At 35.7% G+C, this 23,962-nt stretch overlaps 1 protein-coding gene across 5 annotated transcripts in view; it reads left to right on the top strand.

Moving 5' to 3' along the window:
• Window positions 1–23,962, top strand: part of SLC36A4 (solute carrier family 36 member 4) — a 53,818-nt gene that overhangs the window by 5,363 nt on the left and 24,493 nt on the right. For 3 of the 5 annotated variants that reach the window (NM_152313.4, XM_047426350.1, XM_047426352.1), the window contains exons 2-6: window positions 6,815–6,938; window positions 8,109–8,199; window positions 9,735–9,823; window positions 10,843–10,938; window positions 11,748–11,832. In NM_152313.4, coding sequence (NP_689526.2) covers window positions 6,815–6,938; window positions 8,109–8,199; window positions 9,735–9,823; window positions 10,843–10,938; window positions 11,748–11,832 — 485 coding nt within the window. Of the gene's footprint in view, window positions 1–6,814; window positions 6,939–8,108; window positions 8,200–9,734; window positions 9,824–10,842; window positions 10,939–11,747; window positions 11,833–23,962 lie in introns of those variants that run through there. The other 2 variants (NM_001286139.2, XM_047426351.1) reach the window with 2 other exon arrangements.

The raw sequence follows: 23,962 nt of genomic DNA, 5'->3' as shown, positions 1-23,962 counted from the left end.
TACATGTTGAAATGATATTTTAGGTAAGTTAAATAAAATATTAAAATTAATTTCACCTGTTCCTTTTTTCTTTGTAAAAAAGTTACTACAAAAAATTTGTGTAACGTAAATTTACATTTATATTACATTGCATTCCTACTGGAAGGCACTGCTCTAGTGGCTTTTCATGTCACGTAGAATGGTCTACAAGGCTATGTGCAGTCTGCTTTCTGTCACCTCTGATCTGATCTCATCCCCTACTCCTCCCCCGCACTCATTCCTCTCTGGCTACCCTGCCCTCCTTGTTCCTTAAGCACACCAGACTCCCATCCTGAGGGCCTTTGCCTTTGTTCCTGCTGCCTAGATTACTCTCCCTCCCACAGGATATCCACGCTGCTCACTCCTGCTCCTTCGTCAGGACTTCTTTGAAATGCCACTTTCTCAGTGAGGCCTCCTTTGGCTGTCTCTCCAAAATTAGAGGCTGTCTCAATCCTTGTGTTTCTCCTTAGCACTTAACACTATCCAACTTATCTCTGTTTTACTTATTATCTTATTGTCTCTTTCCTTCACTAAAATTTGAGCTCCATGAAGGCAGGATTTTTTTTTGAGTTTTAGTAATTATTCTCAGCATCTAATGGTGTTTAACATATATTAGGGCCTCATTAATATTTGTGAAATTGAATAGGAAACCATTGTAACCTATTTAATTGAATACATTCAGTTATGAGGCAGAGAGCTTTTGTGTTGAGGGACTATTAGTGGATATTAGTGAGGATGACATTCTATTAATAGGGGTTTTTGAGAAGGGCCAGAAACCAGTAAATTTTGTGAGAGGGCTTATTCCTCTTTGCATCAGCTTCCTTAATGTGTTCGCCTATAATGCTGTTGTGCATAAAAGCCATCATAGTCTTTGACATCCTTTTCACTAGCAAACTAAAAGGTAAGCCATGAGAGTCTATTGTGCCAGGAAAAACAACTCCTGGTAACCACTTTCATATATATGTCTTTCAGGGAATTCCACAGGCAGTTCCCAGAGAGAGTATGAATGCTAATTCTTTACCTCATACCTCACTGCTTTTCATCTGACATCACAGTGTGAAATAACCAAGGGGAGGATATGGTGGTAGTGATGGGTGCCATCTTTCTTGAATCTGAGCCAGAAACCTTCCATAGGAAAGGGACGCGATTCTCGACAACACTGATTAGAAAACTTATCAAGCTTTCCAGCTTAATCTTCTGCCATATACATTTACCTTCAGTTTCAGTGACATTAAACCAACCTAAAGTTTCTCAAGCACGCAATTGTATTCAAGCCTGGAATGCCCCACTCAGCCTTGTGACCAATGCCAGGGCTAAAAGCTCTCCTAAAAAATTAGAGTTAAGTGTAAGGAAATCATATTACTGCATTTTTCTATAGTGTATACCTAAATTGGAAACAAAAATACAATTTAGCATGTTATATATAGTATTACCTGGAGCTTCTAAAAGTTATAAATGACTAGTTGACTCTATTTATTAATCTAATGTTCAGAGATCTAGGTTTATATAGGCTCTTACCATTTAAAGATGCAACTTCTTGGGTACTAAGTATTTCCTAGATATTTCTAGTTAGGTGTCTTTCAATTTACTCTTTAGATTTAAGAGCTGTTTTATATCATTCAAGTTGATATGCTCAGTCTTAAAACCTGATTGCTTTACCTTTTCTTAGTTTACTTAGTTTAACAGATAAACATTTTTTAGTATGTAATGTTACCTCTCTGTATACTAAAACTGGAGGGAAAGTCTTAGAGATTTTTCAGATGTAGTTAGAAAAATGTATTTACTGGGAGGCGGAGGTTGCAGTGAGGCAAGACCACGCCCTTGCACTCCAGCCTGGGTGACAGAGTGAGACTCTGTCTCAAAAAAAAGAAAAATGTATTTAAGCGCATAGTTAGAACTTAGCTAGTAACGTCACATTGCATGGTTCTTTAATGGTAGAATCAAAATAGTAAATAAATATGTACTTCTTAAATTCCTAACACTATTAAGAAGTATTTTAATCTCAAATTATTTAAACTTCGAAAAATTAACTTACTTTAATCTCATTATAAGAGAGTTAAAGGAGTTTCCTGGAATAATTCAATAAAAAAAATTTTTGTGGGCAAGTAATTGTACGTATTTGTGGAGTACATAAGATATTTTGATATAAGCATACAATATGTAATGATCAAATCAGGATAATTGGGATATCCATTATCTCAAATATTTATCCTTTTTTTGTGTGTGTTGGGAACATTTCAAATCCATTTCTCTAGTTATTTTGAAATACATAACAAATTATTGTTAACTACCGTTGCCGTATTGTGCTATAGAACATTAGATCTTATTCCTCCTACCTATCTGTATTTTTTGTACCCAGGAATAATTAAATTTTTGTTAAGGTTTTAAACGTGAAGGATGAGATGAATTTAAAGCAAATATATATATGAAAAGCTATTTTTCACAGTAAGTCATGTTTAATGTTTTCTAGAAAATGTAACATTGAAAATTAATGACTTTAAGAAGTAAGGAAAAGTGTAATAATAGGGATCACACTGTTGAACAAAGTTAAATAAATATGATAGCTGCTAAACAATGTGAGTTTGTTCAGAGTGACGGAGGTCCCAACTAATTTTTACTTCGGATTCTGAACATTGTAATACTATTTTTAAAAACTTAATTCTGTGAATTACAAAACTAGTATTTATAGGTAATTTTAACAATTCTAGATTTCCAGGTTTATTTTAAATGATATTAAAAATAAACTCTTCAATAATGCCATTACAAATAAACATCATTTAGAGTTCATATTGTTGTTAAAGATATGAAAAAACTTACCATTTTCCGTACTTTCCTTACTGCTGTGATCTCTTGGGCAGTGTGCTTTAAATAACAGATTGTTCAGTTTTTGAAATATTGGTAGTGATAACTATCTTTATTGAGGACAGATAGTATGCTTAGTACAGCACAGAACATACTGCACACTCCCTGACAGAAAGAAATCAGAAAGGTCAAATAACTGATAATTTGGATAAGCTAAATGAATAAAAGCAAATGAACTCTAGTCAGCAAGGGCAGTGGAGTACATTTAGGAATAAAAATATTAACATACTGATGGTTGAAACTGAAGTTCATACAACTAATAATGATGGTTGTTATGGATTAAATAGTCCCCCCACCCCTCAATTTATATGTTGTCATAGCCTTGCATACCTCAGGATGTGACCTTATTTAGAAATAGGGTAATTGTAGCTGTAATTAGTTAAGATGAGACCATGGCCAGGAGCAGTGGCTGATGCCTGTAATCCCAGCACTTTGGGAGGCTGAGGCACCTGAGGTTAGGAGTTCGAGACCAGCATGACCAACATGGTGAAACCCTGTCTCTACTAAAAATACAAAAATTAGCTGGGCGTGGTGGTGCACACCTGTTATCCCAGCTACTCTGGAGGCTGAGGCAGGAGAATTGCTTGAACTTGGCGGGGCAGAGATTGCAGTGAGCCAAGATCGCACCATTGTACTCCAGCCTGGTCAACAAGAGCAAAACTCTTGTCTAAAAAAAAAAAAAAGGTGAGGCTTTGCTGGAGTAGGGAGGGTCCCTAATCCAATATGACTGGTGTCCTTATAAAAAGGGGAAATTTAAACACAGACATGATTACAGAGAGAATGTCATGTGAACTTGAAGATGACTGTCCATAAACCAAGGAGAGAGGCCTGCCTGGAACAGAGCTTTCCCTCCCAGCCTTTAGAAGGAACCAACCCTCCCAGCACTTTTTCAGACTAATAGCCTCTAGAACTTTGAGGCAATAAATTCTCTTGTAGTACTTGATTATGAGAGCCCTAGGAAACCAATGTGATAGGTTTACAAGAGTACCAGTGTATTTTGTATAGAGTATAACAGAAAAGGATATAGGCTTTATCCAAACAGAAGGTGAACATAATAAATTTCTAGAGTAAATGTGAGATAGTAGATATCCCAGTAGACCTAATACTGGGGAAACAATTTTTACTGTGTATAGTTCTAGACCGTGCCACCTTTGAAACTGGAAAACAAGAAACAAGGAAATCCTACAAAACAATGTATGGAGAATGTCCTAAAGATTAAAGGGTTAGAAAAACCAGCCAAAAGAAAAGTTGGGAACTTTGAATTATAGAAAATCCTCATCAGTTTTGACTTCAGGAATTTGGAACTGATAATTCTGTGAATTTTACTCTACACATATTAGTTACGTTATTAGAAGAAGAATATGTAAATAATTTTATAGACTGTTTTCAAGCATCTTCCAGTATCTTAAGGCATCACTTTACTCTTATTAAGAATGAATATGCTGAATTCCAGTTGGCACTGGGCTAATGGAGCCTGCTAAAATCCTGATCTCTCAACACATCCTCCCCTAAAACCTGTGAATTCAACTTGAAGCACAAGTAAACCATTCATGAAATTACTCTTTTAGCATTGCGAGGAGATCAAGGATACCATGAACCTCAAATTATCTATAAGTATAAAAACAGAAAATTTTTGTTGCTGCTACAAGCATGGAGAGTGGGGGAGGGGAGTCTTTAGTATTTCGTTGGAAAAGAAGAGCGGGGAGCAGGAAACTGGATCAAGCACCATGAAAATCTCCTTCAGAAAGAGAAAGTCTAATTTAAACTGTTAAACGTCTAAACAGAGGTCAGGTCTAGAAGTTAGTAATTCATAGCACTGAGTACAGGAATGTGAATTTGAGCAGGACTGAAGGGGGAAGCCTTGACAAAACATTGCTTCTGGAGGTGAGAGATAAATAGAGCAGTGGAGATGCCCCTCAGATGGCAAGGGAGGGAAAGAACAAAGTAATGGGGAAAATTGGTGGTCCTGCAGAAATGAAAGAGAACTAGAAGACATGCCAGCTGCTTTTGCTCACCCCTAACAGCTCAACATTGTCTTTGAAATAAACTGAACTTCACTATAGTGACAGAGGGAACACTCTTGAACTAGGATTCCTGTGTATGAAATACTTAGAAATAGGAAAAATCACAAATAAGAAATAAATTACAAGATGTAAGGGAGAATGTATTGAAATGAAAATTTAATGTGTCACTTAAGGCAGATATGAATGAGAATGAGGTAAAGACAGACATCAGAAGGGTCAGAGATATAAAGTGGTTGAATGGAAGACAGGCAAAGAAGACCCAACATGCATGTAATTGAAATATCTAAAGAAGAAGTATTTGAACCAAATACATATTTAAAGCTATTATCCAAGAAAACTTTATAGTAGAAATAAGAAAAAACCTAAATCAACATATCAAAAGGGGCCCACTGTAGCCCTGGGAAAACTGACTTAGCATGGTCAACCCCAAGACATGTAGTAAAGTTACTAGACTTTAAAGACAAAGAAAATATCTTCAGGAACTCTAGGAAAAAGAACAAGTTACTTAATGGCTGAGAAAATTAGTCTGCCATCAGATTTCTCAAAAGTAGCATATAAAAGCAAGGCAAAAGTGGAACAGCATTTTCAAGAAACTCGAGGAATGAAAGTGTGAGCCAAGGATTTTATATCTAGTTGTTCCTCAAGTATCCAGGCTATAAAGAAAAACAGTGTGAAACGTGTAAAAACTCAGGGAACACTGTGCCCATGAGACCCTCCTGAGGAATCAGTTAGAGCAGTGGTCCTCAAAGTGTGGTCCCCAGACCAGCAACATCAGCAGCACTGGGGAACTTGTTAGAAATGCATATTTTCAGGCCCACCCCAGACTTACTGAGTGGGAAACTTTGGGATGGAGTCCATTATTGTGTGTTTTAGCAAGCCCTGCAGGCCATTCTGATGCATACCTTTTAAGAAGATGTACTTCTTCCAGCCAAGGGAAGATTGAGGAAACTTTGGCAGAGAACTGATAGTGGATATTGATATTGATTGTAGATACATGTCTAAGAAATGAGTAGAGACATAATTTGAAGGACAGTATGAAAAACATCATATGTATTGTCAAAGTAGAAAGAATACAACTAAACATGAGAAACTAAGGAACAGAGACAGGAAAAACTAGAATTAAATTATTAATTGTTGTATAGGTAATAGGTAGAAGTCAGAGAGTACCACTTAAAACAGTCAAACAAGATAGTAAAAAATTAAGTAAGAAAAAAAGATGATTAAAGGCATCATAAAAAATATAATGGCAAAGAAACCACTAGAACAACTCAATTAAATGCAATATATAATCCTGGACGGAGGAAAAAATTGCTAAGAGGAATTTATTGGTATAACTGATGAAAGTGGAATATGGAATGTAGATTAAATAGAGTATTGCATCAATGTTAACCTGAATTTGATAATATGAATATTTAAGAGAATATCCTTGTTCTCAGGAAATACACACTGATAAAGTGGTAAAGGGCAAATTTTGATACTGAAATTTTAAATATTGGAATCACTTTGTAATTTTCATCAAGTATTTAAAAACGTGATTACTATTTACCTGTACAGTATGATTTGAAGCTAAGCAGCGATGAAAATATATTTGATCATTTCTTTACATTTCTCATGGTGTAATTCTATGATCATTTACTATAAACCTCTTGTGGATAAAGCAGAAAAAGTTTTGCATTTAATATTTAAGCTTTCACCTTGCACTGCATATTCCAAACAGAATATCCAGCAAATAAATTTAGTTGTTTCTTTTTAAATGTACTAAAACTCAGGGTATTAGTATGAACTAACTTAGGATGGAAATAGTAAAGATGAGTACAAATGGTGTTTCCTAATATTTTGAAATTCATTTATACCAGCTTTATCCAACTTTTTTAAGCAATAGTGAAGTACTTTGTTTTTCTTTTTTAAAGATATGGATGTAATGAGGCCCTTGATAAATGAGCAGAATTTTGATGGGACATCAGATGAAGAACATGAGCAAGAGCTTCTGCCTGTTCAGAAGCATTACCAACTTGATGATCAAGAGGGCATTTCGTAAGTGTTATGGTTTATAAGTCTCCTTTTCTTTTAATTCAGTATGTATTTTGTAATCTTCTTCTACAGGCAAGACATTCTATTACATTACAAGACACAAATATAAGACATAGTCTCCACCTTCAATGAGTTTATAGTCTATTTGGGAAAGAAATGCGTTTAAATCACAGAGCAGTGTATAGGAATTACTGGAGTGATGATGCGTAACAAATGCTAGGGATCTTGAAAGAAGGGAGATCTGATTAAGTGGAACAGGAATGTTAAGAGAAGTGATGTCTGAAATGATCAGGAGGTAGTACATGCTTCTTTATACTGAAACAAAGTCGTGGAGGTAGAAATGCATTGTAACTTTTGAAAACCTTTTTTGACATTTTGTCATCGTTAATAGATTTGAGTAACTTCTCATTCTAATAATAGTTTAATGGTTCAGCAAAGTAATATGCAATTGATCAGAAAAGAAGAATATAAACTGAAAAAATATTTAGGTAAACATTTTTGTTTCTTAAGTTTACACTTTTTGCTCTTCATTTTCATTTCAACTTATTTCTTCCTGATGAAGATACTTCCTTCACATGCTTCTGAAAACTACTCTTAGGTCAAATCCCTTACAGAATTCATAGTATCTAAAAATTGATTCGTGTTTATCTTACCTGTTGATTCATATAGTTTTAAAACTTGTATTTTTTTTAAATTAACTTCTTAGGTTGACAATGATAGATCAAATGTGTTTAGTATCATGGTTACATAGGTAGTGTCAATACATTGCTGTGTTACCAACCAAATACTCAACATTGCTTTGAAAATCATAACAGCAAAATATCTTATGAGAAAATTACTTTTTAAAAAAAATTTATTGCTTCACTGTGTACAAAACCACACTGTAAAGAGAATGCCTTTAGTCTTTTTTAATTTAATTTTTTAGTATCTTGTTTGGCGGATATTTCACTTAACTATGTCATTTAATATCCACAATAACTCTTGTTATTCCACTTTTAATTAGCAAAGATAGGACTTGAACCAAGTATGACTTCTGGCCCAGTGGTGGGATGGAAATGTTATTTGGTTCCTTGCCTAGATTAATTTTCAGTTCCCTTCTAGTACTAAAACCATGATCATGTTATAATAGATTTTGTTCTAAAATATTTAAGTCTTACAACTTTTACTTTTCAGATTTGTACAAACTCTTATGCACCTTCTTAAAGGAAATATTGGAACTGGCCTTTTAGGACTTCCATTGGCAATAAAAAATGCAGGCATAGTGGTAAGACTTATCTTTGTAATCACCAGTTAAGATGCAGTTCTCAGTCTCATTTATAGCAACCTAATATCTGGCCTAGTCAAATATAACCTGGTAAGGTGACATTTAGATGATCATTTAGATGTTGTCTTGATAAAATTGTGTCAACTGTGATAATGATATTTAACAAAAAATAATAATTACTTTATTCATTTCTACTTCATTACTTATTTGTAATATTTAGCCAAAAAAAAGCCACAAACCTAAAACAGTCTTTGATTTTTCCAGGTATAGTTATATCTTATTATTATTTTAGATTTTCAGGAATTGAATTTAGCAGTGTAATCACAGCAACAAATATATTTATAGAGCAGATTATTGGTAACGTGACATTGTATAGTTTTTTTAGAGTCAAATATACAGTTTTCAGAATTTAAATAACAGTTAAGAAAAGTTGGCCGGGTGCGGTAGCCCATGCCTGTAATCCCAGCACTCTGGGAGGCCGAGGTGGGCAGATCACGAGGTCAGGAGATTGAGACCATCCTGGCTAACACGGTGAAACCCCGTCTCTACTAAAAAATGCAAAAAATTAGCCGGGCGTGGTGGCGGATGCCTGTAGTCCCAGCTACTCGGGAGGCTGAGGCAGGAGAATGGCGTGAACCCAGGAGGTGGAGTTTGCATTGAGCTGAGATTGCGCCACTGCACTCCAGCCTGGGCGACAGAGCAAGACTCTGTCTCAAAAAAAAAAATAAATAAATAAATAAAAGAAAAGTAATAACAATAACTTTTAAAAACCAATATGTAAAGCATTGTTAGAGGCAGTTATTGTAATTATTATAATTGCAGAGAACCTTGATAGGGGAGAAACCCATTTATGAGGTAATAAAATAATATTTAACTTTTTTGAATAGACCACTTTCTAAAAACAGTTTTAACTATCCCTGCATTTGACTGTTTTGTTCCCCTAATTTAGATGATAAAAACTTTTGATTATAAAAATAAACTTTGGCAATATTTTGGTTGTATCTGGGTAATTACTAGCATTGCTTTAATTTTAGTAAATAAATATTTAAAGTATTTTATTTACTACTTTTTGAAATAATTATTTTATAAGCATGGTTTCTGACACATAGTAAGTACCCAAGAAGCAGTCTGTAGAAGAAATAAATTGCTCACAGTCTCCGTTTGATATTGTGCGTTTTCGGGATTTAGATAATGATGCATGGTTGCATATAATTATAATGGTGGGTCACTGATAGTTGTAGACTTGCCATCTGATGTTAAATATGATCTTGTGTTCTATCCTACTTTGTTGTCTATACTCCATATTCGTAGGTTTGAGTAGCTATGTTAATAAGATGGAATTATACATGGTTGTCTTAAATATTACTCGAAATTCCTTCTGCATCAAGTTTATTAGTTTTCCCTTATGCAATGACTAATCATTTTGCTCAACAAATATTTATTCACTGCACGTGAATAATCCATTGATTCATTGCTTATAAGATTACTCAATTTCTGTTAAATATTTAAACCTTATAAATTTTTTTTCCCCACAGCTTGGACCAATCAGCCTTGTGTTTATAGGAATTATTTCTGTTCACTGTATGCACATATTGGTACGTTGCAGTCACTTTCTATGTCTGAGGTAAATGTGGATTTGTTAAGCCTATTTATTTTAAAGCTATCTTTTATTTACAGCATCAGATAGTCTTATATTCTACTGTGCTTTGTATTTCGTTTAAGCTTTTACGTAGATAAATCTAAGGTAATGAATATGGAAGAAGGTAGCATTTCATATAATTTAAATCTGGTTGGAATCTATTTATTTTTAAAAGGTAGCCTTATTAGTGAAATAGTATGGTTTCTCTTAGTATAAATGGAAAAAATTAGAAAAGATATATAGAGGCAATGGAGACAGTGGTGTGATTTTTAGCTATAGCATAATAGTCTTCAATGTGTTAGTAATTCTGTTTTGATTATAATGCCTTTGGTGCTCTCTGCTGATGTATGAGTTAGTAGATAGTCAACAACACAATATTATTTGTCTTTATTTTTGTATCATGAAATACTTCTACTGGACAGTAGACCATATGTATTCTAGTAGCCTAATATCAAGTCTTGACTCTTTTTTGTTGTTGTTATATACTCTTAAAACTTTGGGCAAATCATTTATGAGCTTTATAGAACAATGTATACTTGGGAAAAAAAAAGAGAGAATGGAGAAATAATACCTACCTCATGGGAAGATTAAATGAGATAGTTTATGTGAAAATGTATTGTGCAGCCTTGCACAGATGTATTATTAAATAATGCTGTTCTAAGAATGGAATAATTTAGACATGAATAATGTAGTTGATGTTTTAGGCATTTGAAATATTTAAATTAATAAAGTACAAATATTAAGTTACATGAGTTCTGCACTTACATAAACTTTAGCAGTAGATAAAATTAATGTACTGGTAAAAAGGACAGATTTAAACATTTAAAACTTTATGAGGCATGCTTTAGAAGTATGCAGATCTTGACATTTTGGTAACTCATTTGTCAGTTCATAGCCTTGCATTTATTAATTCCCATTTATTTTATGTTTATTTCAAGAGGTGGTTTTATGGACCACCTTAAAATTTTTCTTTTTTCCTTTGTATGTATGTCATTAAATTACAGGTTTAAAAAGTCAACATTAGGTTATAGTGACACTGTGAGCTTTGCTATGGAAGTGAGTCCTTGGAGTTGTCTTCAGAAGCAAGCAGCATGGGGGCGGTAAGTACTTACTCTGTTATTAATATATGATTGTTAAAATTATGTTAATTTTAAGTATTTTAACCTAACAATATATATAAATAAAAATATGATAAAGTTGGGGAATAAACATATGTAACCCTTAGAGTTAAACAGACTTAGATTCTAATCTCAACTTGACCATTTTTCAGCTTTCTGACCTTGATCAAATTATTTATCATTGTGGTTTGTTTTTCTCAGTATGAAATGAGTTTACAGTAATACCCATTTCACAGGATCATTATGGTAGATGAAGTAAAATGATATTTATAAAGCATGACCTGGTCAAATGATGACATAATCGTGTTCATTAATTTTTTAAATAAAGGAAAACAAGAAAAATGTTGCAGTCTCATTATTTCAAATAAATTTGTAGTATTTGTATGCTTATCTGAGGTATGGCTATATTTTAGCATAACCTTATTTTATTGTCTTGTTACTTAAATGTAACTTTATTATTGGTGGCTCTGGCAAATCAAAGTAAGATGAATACAGGACTAGAAAAATAAGGAAGCATAAGCAGTCAGCAAAGTGCTACCTGTTGTAAAGATGACATGTGAGATGGGAATTAAAAGAAGAACAGTGTTAGTAGAGTAGTTTATAGTTAAGTGTGGCCTTTCTGGAGATTTTCAGGAAGTTAGATTTGGCATGAACTGCTCTGAGTTCCTGACATACTGAGTAGGAGAATATATGCTATAATAAAATGTTTTAAAACTCTTGAAAAGAGAAATAAAATATATTGACATTTCAGTAGCTCTCCTGGATACTCATTTGTGGATATCTTTTTTCAGGAGTGTGGTTGACTTTTTTCTGGTGATAACACAGCTGGGATTCTGTAGTGTTTATATTGTCTTCTTAGCTGAAAATGTGAAACAAGTGAGTATTTTTCTCCAGTTAGTGAAATCATTTTCTTCTAAAGCCCTAGTTATGGCTTCATATATCTTCTGTGGAAGCCACAGTTGAATTTGAAAATGTGTTCCTTTCATAAATGATCTTCCTTTATAAATTTTCCTTTAGTCTTTTTTCTTGCAAGTTGGATTTCTGCTGTAATTGTTGATTTCACTGTTTTGCTATAATACTGATAATGCTTGTTTTTTCAGATCAGAATATGACATAATTTACTGATTCTTAGCTACTTGAAACTTAGATCTCAAAAGCATATACATAGATGCTTTGGAAGCATATTCTTTACATTGACATTGTTTAAAGAACTATATAAGGCTTTAGCCAGTAGGCTAAAAAATCAAGTAAAAATAGTGAGCATTCATTATTAAAATCTGGTAATTATAGCCATTGTGTAAAAAGACACTGTGTCCAAAAATGAACAGTTTTCTGTAGTTTTTTGAGAAACTTTCTCATATTATGAAGGTTTGCTTTAAGAAGAAGTGGTTTGCAGTCTTGGAAGAGATTGACAGTGTATTTGGACAAATATGGAAAGCAATGAAATAAAAAATCCCTCCATCAAAACAATACTATAAAGCACTTTTATGACTGGTATCATTATTCCTACATTATCCCCTGCTCTTCTTTAATCATTATTTTAATCAATAATATTTATTAATTATCCACATGTCCATGGTACAGTAAACATTTTACATAGTAATATATAGGATTGTCTTGTAGATATTTTTATGCAAAATGATGGAGTGTGTATGTTTTCTAAAGAACCTGTGTGTAGGTTCTTGTGCATTTGTGTATTTGAGTCTCTTTTCTAAGTATAGACTATGCTTCATTTCACTGAGAATTGGCAAACTGTTTCTGTAGAGGGCCAGTTAATAAGTATTTTCTGCTTTGCAGGCCATATGGTCTCTGTTGTAACTACTGAGTTCAGCCATAGGCAACAATATGTAAACAAATAGATATGGCTGTATTTAGGTAAAATTTTATTTGCAAAAATAGGTGGTCTGCAGACCATAGTTTTTTAACCCCTGATTTAGACTATCCCTGTATGCTATATTTGAGCCATTCACTTAGATTTTTAGTATTGGAAGAAGTCATTGAGTCAAACTCTCTTTTATAAAAGAGTTCATAGCTAGTTAGGAATTAGGGCTTGGATTTCTGGTCAGTTTTTTTTCCAGTGTACCATGTCTCAGCATCTAGAAAAGTTTTGTTTATATCTGGAACCTTAAATGTCTGGAAACTTAAATGTCACCTGTTCTGTGAAACCTTTCTTAACTGTTCCTTCCATGTCTTCCTTTTCTTTATCTCTAGCCAGAATTTATTGGTTTTTGTCCTGGCTTCTGTATAACTTTTTAAAATAGCCTTGATCATGCTGTACTGAAGTTAATCTACAAGTTATTTTTCACCACTAGACAGCAAGCCTTATGAAGGAAGGGACTCCCATATCTCTTGTGTTCATCACCGTAAACTAGCATCTAAGAGTGTCTGGCTTATCAGTACCCAGTATGGTTATTGGCTCTGAAGGAAAATGAACTCACTGGACTGGGAGAGATTATACCTTTTTCATGTCTTTATTTCTCAGACCTAGTACTGTACCTGGTTGATAGCACAAGTGTCAGTAAAACTTTCTGGACTGAAAGGGTTTAATCCTTTTGTTTGATTTCCGTATTGATGGTCTCTGCCACTTTCCTTGCTCCCATCCTGTGCAAACACCCATTTTTCCCATTTTCTCTGTGAACTCTTCTCTTTCAGCCCCTACATGATTGTTTTAGCTTGGTTTCTCACTTCACAGCTGTTTTCCTATCTCTATAAAAGGAATGGTAACCTTAGGGTTTTGAAGGTAAACATATCATCAACAAACAGGGACAGTTTGACTTCCTCTTTACCAATTTGGATGCCCTTTATTTCTTTCTCTTGTCTGATTGCTCTGGCTAGGACTTCCAGTACTATGTTGAAGAGGAGTGGTGAGAGTGGGCATCCTTGTCTTGCTCCAGTTCTCAGAGGGAATGCTTTAAACTTTTCCCCATTCAGTATTATGTTGGCTGTGGGTTTGTCATAGATGGCTTTTATTACATTACAGTATGTCCCGTGACTGATAAAATAATTCAGCAAAGTTTCTGGATACAAGATTAATGTACACAAATGAGTAGCTCTTATACACCAACAGTGACCAAGTGGAGAATCAAATCAAGAACTTAACCCCTTTTCCTTTTACAAAAGCTGCAAAAAAAAATTAAACTACTCGCCGGTTCCAAGATGACCAATAGGAACAGCGCCAGTCTACAGCTCCAAGCTTGAGCGACACAGAAGACGGGTGATTTTTGCATTTCCAACTGAGGTACTGGGTTCATCTCACTGGGGCTTGTTGGACAGTGGGTGCAGCCCATGGAGTGTGAGCCAAAGCAGGGCAGGGCATCATCTCACCAGGGAAGCACAAGGGGTTGGGGAATTCCCTTTCCTAGCCAAGGGAAGCCATGACAGATGGTACCTGGAAAATTGGGACACTCCCACCCTAATAATGCGCTTTTCCAACGGTCTTAGCAAATGGCACACCAAGAGATTATATCCTGCGCTGGCTCAGAGGGTCCCACGCCAACAAAGCCTCGCTCACTGCTAGCACAGTGAGCTAGCAGTGCTCACTAGCACAGCAGTCTGAGATCGAACTGCAAGGCGGCAGCGAGGCTGGTGGAGGGGCGTCCGCCATTGCTGAGGCTTGAGTAGGTAAACAAAGTGGCCGGGAAGCTCGAACTGGGTGGAGCCCACCGCAGCTCAAGGAGGCCTGTCTGCCTCTGTAGACTCCACCTCTGGGGGCAGGGCATAGCTAAACAAAAGGCAGCAGAAACTTCTGCAGACTTAAACATTCCTCTCTGACAGCTTTGAATAGAATAGTGGTTCTCCGAGTGCAGAGTTTGAGATCTGAGAACGGACAGACTGCCTCCTCATGTGGGTCCCTGACCCCGGAGTAGCCTAACTGGGAGACGCCTCCCAGTAGGGGCCAACTGATATCTCATACAGCCGGGTCCCCCTCTGAGACGAAGCTTCCAGAGGAAGGATCAGGCAGGAACGTTTGCCGTTCTGCAATATTAGCTCTTCTGCAGCCTTTGCTGGTGATACCCAGGCAAACAGCATCTGGAGTGGACCTCCAGCAAACTCCAACAGACCTGCAGCTGAGGGTCCTGACTGTCAGAAGAAAAACTAACGAACAGAAAGGACATCCACACCAAAACCCCATCTGTACGTTACCATCCTCAAAGGCCAAAGGAACGCAGCTCCTCGCCAGCAACGGAACAAAGCTGGACAGAGAATGACTTTGACGAGTTGAGAGAAGAAGGCTTCAGACGATCGGTAGTAACAAACTTCTTCAAGCTAAAGGAGGATGTTCGAACCCTTCGCAGAGAAGCTAAAAACCTTGAAAAAAGATTACACAAATGGCTAACTGGAATAAATAGTGAAGAGAAGACCTTAAATGACCTGATGGAGCTGAAAACCATGGCATGGGAACTACGTGACACATTCACAAGCTTCAGTAGCTGATTCAATCAAGTGGAAGAAAGGGTATCAGTGATTGAAGATCAAATGAATGAAATGAAGTGAAAAGTTTAGAGAAAAAAGAATAAAAAGAAACGAACAAAGCCTCCAAGAAATATGGAACTATGTGAAAAGACCAAATCTACGTCTGATTTGGTATACCTGAAAGTGTTGGGGAGAATGGAGACAACTTGGAAAACACTCTTCAGGATATTATCCAGGAGAACTTCCCCAACCTACCAAGACAGGCCAACATTCAAATTCAGGAAATACAGAGAACGCCACAAAGGTAACACCTCGAGAAGAGCAACTCCAAGACACATAAATTGTCAGATTCACCAAAGTTGAAATGAAGGAAAACATATTAAGGGCAGCCAGAGAGAAAGGTCAGGTTACCTGCAAAGGGAAGCCCATCAGACTTAACAGTGGATCTCTCGGCAGAAACTCCACAAGCCAGAAGAGAGTGGGGTCCAATATTCAACATTCTGAAAGAAAAGAATTTTCAACCCAGAATTTCATATCCAGCCAAACTAAGCTTCATAAGTGAAGGAGAAATAAAATACTTTACAGACAAGCAAATGCTGAGAGATTTTGTCACTACCAGGCCTGCCCTAAAAGAGCTCCTGAAGGAAGCGCTAAACATGGAAAGGAACAACCGGTACCAGCTGCTGCAAAATCATGCCAAAATGTAAAGACCATCGAGACTAGGAAGAAACTGCATCAACTAATGAGCAAAATCACCAGCTAACATCATAATGACAGGATCAAATTCACACATAACAATATTAACTTTAAATGTAAATGGACTAAATTCTCCAATTAAAAGACATAGACTGGCAAATTGGATAAAGAGTCAGGACCCATCAGTGTGCTGTATTCAGGAAACCCATCTCACATGCAGAGACACACATAGGCTCAAAATAAAAGGATGGAGGAAGATCTACCAAGCAAATGGAAAACAAAAAAAGGCAGGGGTTGCAATCCTAGTCTCTGATAAAACAGACTTTAAACCAACAAAGATCAAAAGAGACAAAGAAGGCCATTACATAGTGGTAAATGGATCAATTCAACAAGAAGAGCTAACTATCCTAAATATATATGCACCCAATACAGGAGCACCCAGATTCATAAAGCAAGTCCTGAGTGACCTACAAAGAGACTTAGACTCCCACACATTAATAATGGGAGACTTTAACACCCCACTGTCAACATTAGACAGATCAACGAGACAGAAAGTCAACAAGGATACCCAGGAATTGAACTCAGCTCTGCACCAAGCGGACCTAATAGACATTTACAGAACTCTCCACCCCAAATCAACAGAATATACATTTTTTTCAGCACCACACCACACCTATTCCAAAATTGACCACATAGTTGGAAGTAAAGCTCTCCTCAGCAAATGTAAAAGAACAGAAATTATAACAAACTATCTCTCAGACCACAGTGCAATCAAACTAGAACTCAGGATTAAGAATCTCACTCAAAGCCGCTCAACTACATGGAAACTGAACAACCTGCTCCTGAATGACTACTGGGTACATAACGAAATGAAGGCAGAAATAAAGATGTTCTTTGAAACCAACGAGAACAAAGACACAACATACCAGAATCTCTGGGACGCATTCAAAGCAGTGTGTAGAGGGAAATGTATAGCACTAAATGCCCACAAGAGAAAGCAGGAAAGATCCAAAATTGACACCCTAACATCACAATTAAAAGAACTAGAAAAGCAAGAGCGAACACATTCAAAAGCTAGCAGAAGGCAAGAAATAACTAAAATCACAGCAGAACTGAAGGAAATAGAGACACAAAAAACCCTTCAAAAAATCAATGAATCCAGGAGCTGGTTTTTTGAAAGGATCAACAAAATTGATAGACCGCTAGCAAGACTAATAAAGAAAAAAAGAGAGAAGAATCAAATAGACGCAATAAAAAATGATAAAGGGGATATCATCACCGATCCCACAGAAATACAAACTACCATCAGAGAATACTACAAACACCTCTACGCAAATAAACTAGAAAATCTAGAAGAAATGGATAAATTCCTCGACACATACACTCTCCCAAGACTAAACCAGGAAGAAGTTGAATCTCTGAATAGACCAATAACAGGAGCTGAAATTGTAGCAATAATCAATAGTTTACCAACCAAAAAGAGTCCAGGACCAGATGGATTCACAGCCGAATTCTACCAGAGGTACAAGGAGGAACTGGTACCATTCCTTCTGAAAGTATTCCAATCAATAGAAAAAGAGGGAATCCTCCCTAACTCATTTTATGAGGCCAGCATCATTCCGATACCAAAGCCGGGCAGAGACACAACCAAAAAAGAGAATTTTAGACCAATATCCTTGATGAACATTGATGCAAAAATCCTCATAAAATACTGGCAAACCAAATCCAGCAGCACATCAAAAAGCTTATCGACCATGATCAAGTGGGCTTCAACCCTGGGATGCAAGGCTGGTTCAATATATGCAAATCAATAAATGTAATCCAGCATATAAACAGAGCCAAAGACAAAAACCACATGATTATCTCAATAGATGCAGAAAAAGCCTTTGACAAAATTCAACAACCCTTCATGCTAAAAACTCTCAATAAATTAGGTATTGATGGGACGTATTTCAAAATAATAAGAGCTATCTATGACAAACCCACAGCCAACATCATACTGAATGGGCAAAAACTGGAAGCATTCCCTTTGAAAACTGGCACAAGACAGGGATGTCCTCTCTCACCACTCCTATTCAACATAGTGTTGGAAGTTCTGGCCAGGGCAATTAGGCAGGAGAAGGAAATAAAGGGTATTCAATTAGGAAAAGAGGAAGTCAAATTGTCCCTGTTTGCAGATGACATGACTGTATATCGAGAAAACCCCATTGTCTCAGCCCAAAATCTCCTTAAGCTGATAAGCAACTTCAGCAAAGTCTCAGGATACAAAATCAATGTACAAAAATCACAAGCATTCTTATACACCAACAACAGACAAACAGAGAGCGAAATCATGAGTGAACTCCCATTCACAATTGCTTCCAAGAGAATAAAATACCTAGGAATCCAACTTACAAGGGATGTGAAGGACCTCTTCAAGGAGAACTACAAACCACTGCTCAATGAAATAAAAGAGGATACAAACAAATGGAAGAACATTCCATGCTCATGGGTAGGAAGAATCAATATCATGAAAATGGCTATACTGCCCAAGGTAATTTACAGATTCAATGCCATCCCCATCAAGCTACCAATGACTTTCTTCACAGAATTGGAAAAAACTACTTTAAAGTTCATATGGAACCAAAAAAGAGCCCGCATCGCCAAGTCAATCCTAAGCCAAAAGAACTAAGCTGGAGGCATCACACTACCTGACTTCAAACTATACTACAAGGCTACAGTAACCAAAACAGCATGGTACTGGTACCAAAACAGAGATATAGATCAATGGAACAGAACAGAGCCCTCAGAAATAATGCCGCATACCTACAACTATCTGATCTTTGACAAACCTGAGAAAAACAAGCAATGGGGAAAGGATTCCCTATTTAATAAATGGTGCTGGGAAAACTGGCTAGCCATATGTAGAAAGCTGAAACTGGATCCCTTCCTTACACCTTATACAAAAATCAATTCAAGATGGATTAAAGATTCAAACGTTAGACCTAAAACCATAAAAACCCTAGAAGAAAACCTAGGCATTACCGTTCAGGACATAGGCATGTGCAAGGACTTCATGTCCAAAACACCAAAAGCAATGGCAACAAAAGACAAAATTGACAAATGGGATCTAATTAAACTAAAGAGCTTCTGCACAGCAAAAGAAACTACCATCAGAGTGAACAGGCAACCTACAAAATGGGAGAAAATTTTCGCAACCTACTCATCTGACAAAGGGCTGATATCCAGAATCTACAATGAACTCAAACAAATTTACAAGAAAAAAACAAACAACCCCATCAAAAAGTGGGCGAAGGACATGAACGGACACTTCTCAAAAGAAGACATTTATGCAGCCAAAAAACACATGAAAAAATGCTCATCATCACTGGCCATCAGAGAAATGCAAATCAAAACCACAATGAGATACCATCTCACACCAGTTAGAATGGCAATCATTAAAAAGTCAGGAAACAACAGGTGCTGGAGAGGATGTGGAGAAATAGGAACACTTTTACACTGTTGGTGGGACTGTAAACTAGTTCAACCATTGTGGAAGTCAGTGTGGCGATTCCTCAGGGATCTAGAACTGGAAATACCATTTGACCCAGCCATCCCATTACTGAGTATATACCCAAAGGACTATAAATCATGCTGCTATAAAGACACATGCACACATATGTTTATTGCAGCATTATTCACAATAGCAAAGACTTGGAACCAACCCAAATGTCCAACAATGATAGACTGGATTAAGAAAATGTGGCACATATACACCATGGAATACTATGCAGCCATAAAAAATGATGAGTTCATGTCCTTTGTAGGGACATGGATGAAATTGGAAATCATCATTCTCAGTAAACTATCGCAAGAACAAAAAACCAAACACCGCATATTCTCACTCATAGGTGGGAATTGAACAATGAGATCACATGGACACAGGAAGGGGAATATCACACTCTGGGGACTGTGGTGGGGTGGGGGGATGGGGAGGGATAGCATTGGGAGATATACCTAATGCTAGATGACGAGTTAGTGGGTGCAGCGCACCAGCATGGCACATGTATAAATATGTAACTAAGCTGCACAATGTGCACATGTACCCTAAAACTTAAAGTATAATTAAAAAAAAAAAAGAATGATACAGTGGACTTTGGGGACTTGGGGGGAAGAGTGGGAGGGGACAAGGGATAAAAGACAACAAATATGGTGCAGTGTATACTGCTTCATTGATGGGTGCACCAGGATCTCACAAATCACCACTAAAGAACTTACTCATGTAACTAAATACCACCTGTACCCCAATAATTTATGGAAAAATAAAATAATAAAATGTTTTTAAAAAAGGGAATGGTGTCAAGAGATTAGTGTTGTAACTGCTGACAGTTTTAGCCAGCCTGTAGTTTTTCTTTCTACCCTCATTTTATTATTTTTTTCAAAATATCCTAGTTTTAAACTATTTCTTCTAACTTTTACTAGATATTTGCAAATAATTAAGTTCTTATACACATTTTCTGGCAGAAAAATCTGTAAACCATCAGACACAGGTGTTCCCTCATATGTGCTGTGACTACAGAATAGAGTGAAAGGTCTTAGCGAGAGCAAGTAGCCATGGGAGATGTAGAGGACATAGAAAAGAGTAACAGTAATTAGAGTTAATTAGAGTCCTGTTTATATTCTTTTGTTTATCAAAATAAAGCATCAGTCCTTCCATTAGCATTACTTGTTATAGATGATGTCCTTTTGATTTTACAAATATTTAATTCTACAAATTGCATATTCCTAGGACTCCTAACTCCATTAAGAGGCTTTTTATTAACAAGAACTGATAAGACATACCATCTTACCAGTTATTTATATATAATATGATGGAAATTATGCCTTTCTAGGGTCGTGTAACATGGTAGTACTGTATCTATTTGAATACCTATCTTCTCAAGGAGTTACAAGCTCTATTTGAATTTAAGAATAATGTTAATAATGCCTTATAATTTTATATTTAGAAACCATGATATACATTATTTAATGTTTATAACTACTCTGTAAAGTAAGTACTATGCTCATTTTATGGATGAGAACGCAGTCTCACAAAACATGAGTAGTGTGCCCTAAGTCATATGGAATTAGGTTGAAACGTAGATCTCTGTCACTTCCAATATGTTAATTGTTAATCACCCCATGGGACATTGTCTTGTCAGATTTTAGTTGTGAGTGTGTTTGTATGACATAAAGAGTAGATAAGGTCGATAAAATAAATGCTTATAAGCTTAGAATTGGTGACTTTCTCCTATGAAATATTATCAGATGCTTCTGAGGTTGAATGGAAAAGTTTAACTTTGCACATGTCCTAAGAAGATCAGGTAGAAAAAGTGATTCTCTGGAGGTAAGGAGAATGCCTGCTGTAGATAGAAAGGTAAAAGTCCTTTTGAATCATAAAGAGTAACATGGAAAAAAAAAAAGGCAGTCAGGCTTGAGAAAGTAGTTGAGATGGTCACTGAAGCAGCATGCAATCAGAGATTTTCACTCTACAGAGGTGTTCTTTTACATTTGATAGCATTATACAATAGTAGACACACTAGTTGATTAAACCTTACCAATTGCTATTTACTGTTATAGTTAAAAACCATAGGATTGTTACCCTCCCCTTAGTCTACATGAAATTGAAATGTATCTTATTAACCCCCAAAATTAAGGGTTTAGTTGCCACACAAATGTAGAAACCTGCTATGTAACTGCCACATGACTATTCTTGGTCCCATTAAGTCTTTATGTACAATCAGTAGGGGATAAAGAATCCTAGTGCTTCTGATAAGTCTAGTCCATAGTGGTTACAGTTGTTCCTCTCTGTTCTTACTCTAAGATACTCTAGAAAATCTCATGCAGATAAAATAGTGGTATGTAGGCATGGAGAATGGGAAGGAATACAGTATTACAAATAAAAAATGTAGCAATATCAAAGATCATTGATTGTAGAATCAGAAGATAGGAGTTCAAATCTCTGCTTTCTCAGTTTTAACTCACACATTGGGCAAACCCCCCTTATCCCTGGTCTAGCATCAGTTTCCTTATTTGTAAAATGGGAATAGTAACAAAATATCCCCTTGTTTCTCATAAACTTATTGTGAGGCTCAGCTGACAAAAGGTTTATGAAAGCCTTTGTAAAATGTAAAAGATACAAATGTAGGGTACTATAACTTTAATTCTGCATTTGGCTTTACTGACGAACATAATCTGCTGTTGGAATTTTAATTGTTAAATTACAGAATCATTGAAAAGTTAATAAGTGGTGGATTTTAGTAAATTTGAGCTCAAATGGAAACAACTGAATTTAGTAATTTTATTTTATAATGTTTATTTCAGTGTTTTACATTTTGGTAAACATGTGAGATCGTAGGAAGTCCTATTAGATAGCCAATCTCTGTCTCTAGAGGGCACCAAAGGACTCAAATGTTTACCTGAATCTTGCTCTAGGTATGTATCTACATTTTTATTTTATTTTATTTTTTAATCCTCAGAATTTTTATAACCACTTTTCTGCCAAAAATGCTAAAATACTATATTTGTGATAGAATTAATTTTAAATTCCCAAGCACCTAATAATAATTAAAACAGCCCTTTAAAATATTGGTTATATTACTGCTTTTCTCTTGCCAGTTATCCTTGTTAGAGCTTTACTTTGATCATTATCTAATCTAATTATTGGAGATACTGCTTTCATAAGAAGTATTTGGCTCTAAGTAATTTAGTTACTAGAATGTTAAATCAACAATCAAATATGTTTGTAAAAACCAAGGAATGTAAATCCCCAATTTTGTTTTTATTTCAAATTATAGAAAATAAAATGTAAAGTTTTGATGGTCAGTTACAACATAGTCATGAGCTGTGCATTTCTTAAATGGTGCAACTTGAGAGTCTGTTAGTCCAGTATGAGTTATAAATTGCCTGTATAGGGCAAAAATCTAATAGATATATTCTCTGCAGTCTAAGATGATGTGTACATTTATACTGACACTAAACATTGTGTATGGTAGATTATACATGTAAGATTAAAGTAGAAGAAACACTTAAATTGTTATTTCAGAAATGTGTTTTAATCTTCTGATTTGTTGGCCTCTTAATTACTACATTTAGAGAGAGATATGTAAAAGTGGAGGCCAGGTGACCGCTTGGGCAGGGCCCTCCTTTCTGGGTTGCAGTATTTTGGTCAGGCTAATTCTAGAGTCACAGGCTTAGGTTTGAATCCTAGAACCACCACTTACTGGCTTGATATTACGCAAGATTTAAAAAAAATATTTCTCTAAGCCTCAGGTTCCTCAACTATAAATTGGGATTAATATTACCATCTACTTTAGAGAGTCATTTTGAGGATTAAGTGAGATGTTGTATATAAAGCATGTAGTTCAGTACCTGATACAAAGAAATTACTCAAAAAACACTAGCTATTATTATTACAAGGTCTTAAGAATTTTTAGAGTGTGTGTATCCAGAGACTCGACAATATTGATGTGTTTGAAGGAGGGTACACTGTTTTGGGGCAAATAAGTTTTCACTGGTATTCTAGTTATAGTATTATCTGCATCTGCTATAAATTTTTAAGACTGTTTCTAAAGTCCTCTATAATTTCATTTCTATTTTAGTAAGTAGTGTTATGTGATTAATTGGATCAGAGATAGTTTTTAATATATGGAGACTGTAAATCATATTTGTAAATCATATTTGTTTTGAAATCTGAAAATTGGGTTATAGGAATGGCTGAATAAGTTTTAATATAAGGTTGATTTATCTTGTGAAGGTTTTTGCTCTAGCAAAAATTTATGTACTGTCTACCATATGGCCATGCATGAATGTAGTGGATTTTTAATAAATATTTATTGATAGTGATGATAATTTATAAATAATTGCTTTATAAGAGTTT

Source organism: Homo sapiens, chromosome 11 (genome assembly GCF_000001405.40).
Source record: "Homo sapiens chromosome 11, GRCh38.p14 Primary Assembly".
Classification (NCBI taxonomy): Eukaryota; Metazoa; Chordata; class Mammalia; order Primates; family Hominidae; genus Homo; species Homo sapiens.
Note: the sequence above shows the minus strand (reverse complement) of the source record. Positions and strands in the feature narration are given on the sequence as shown.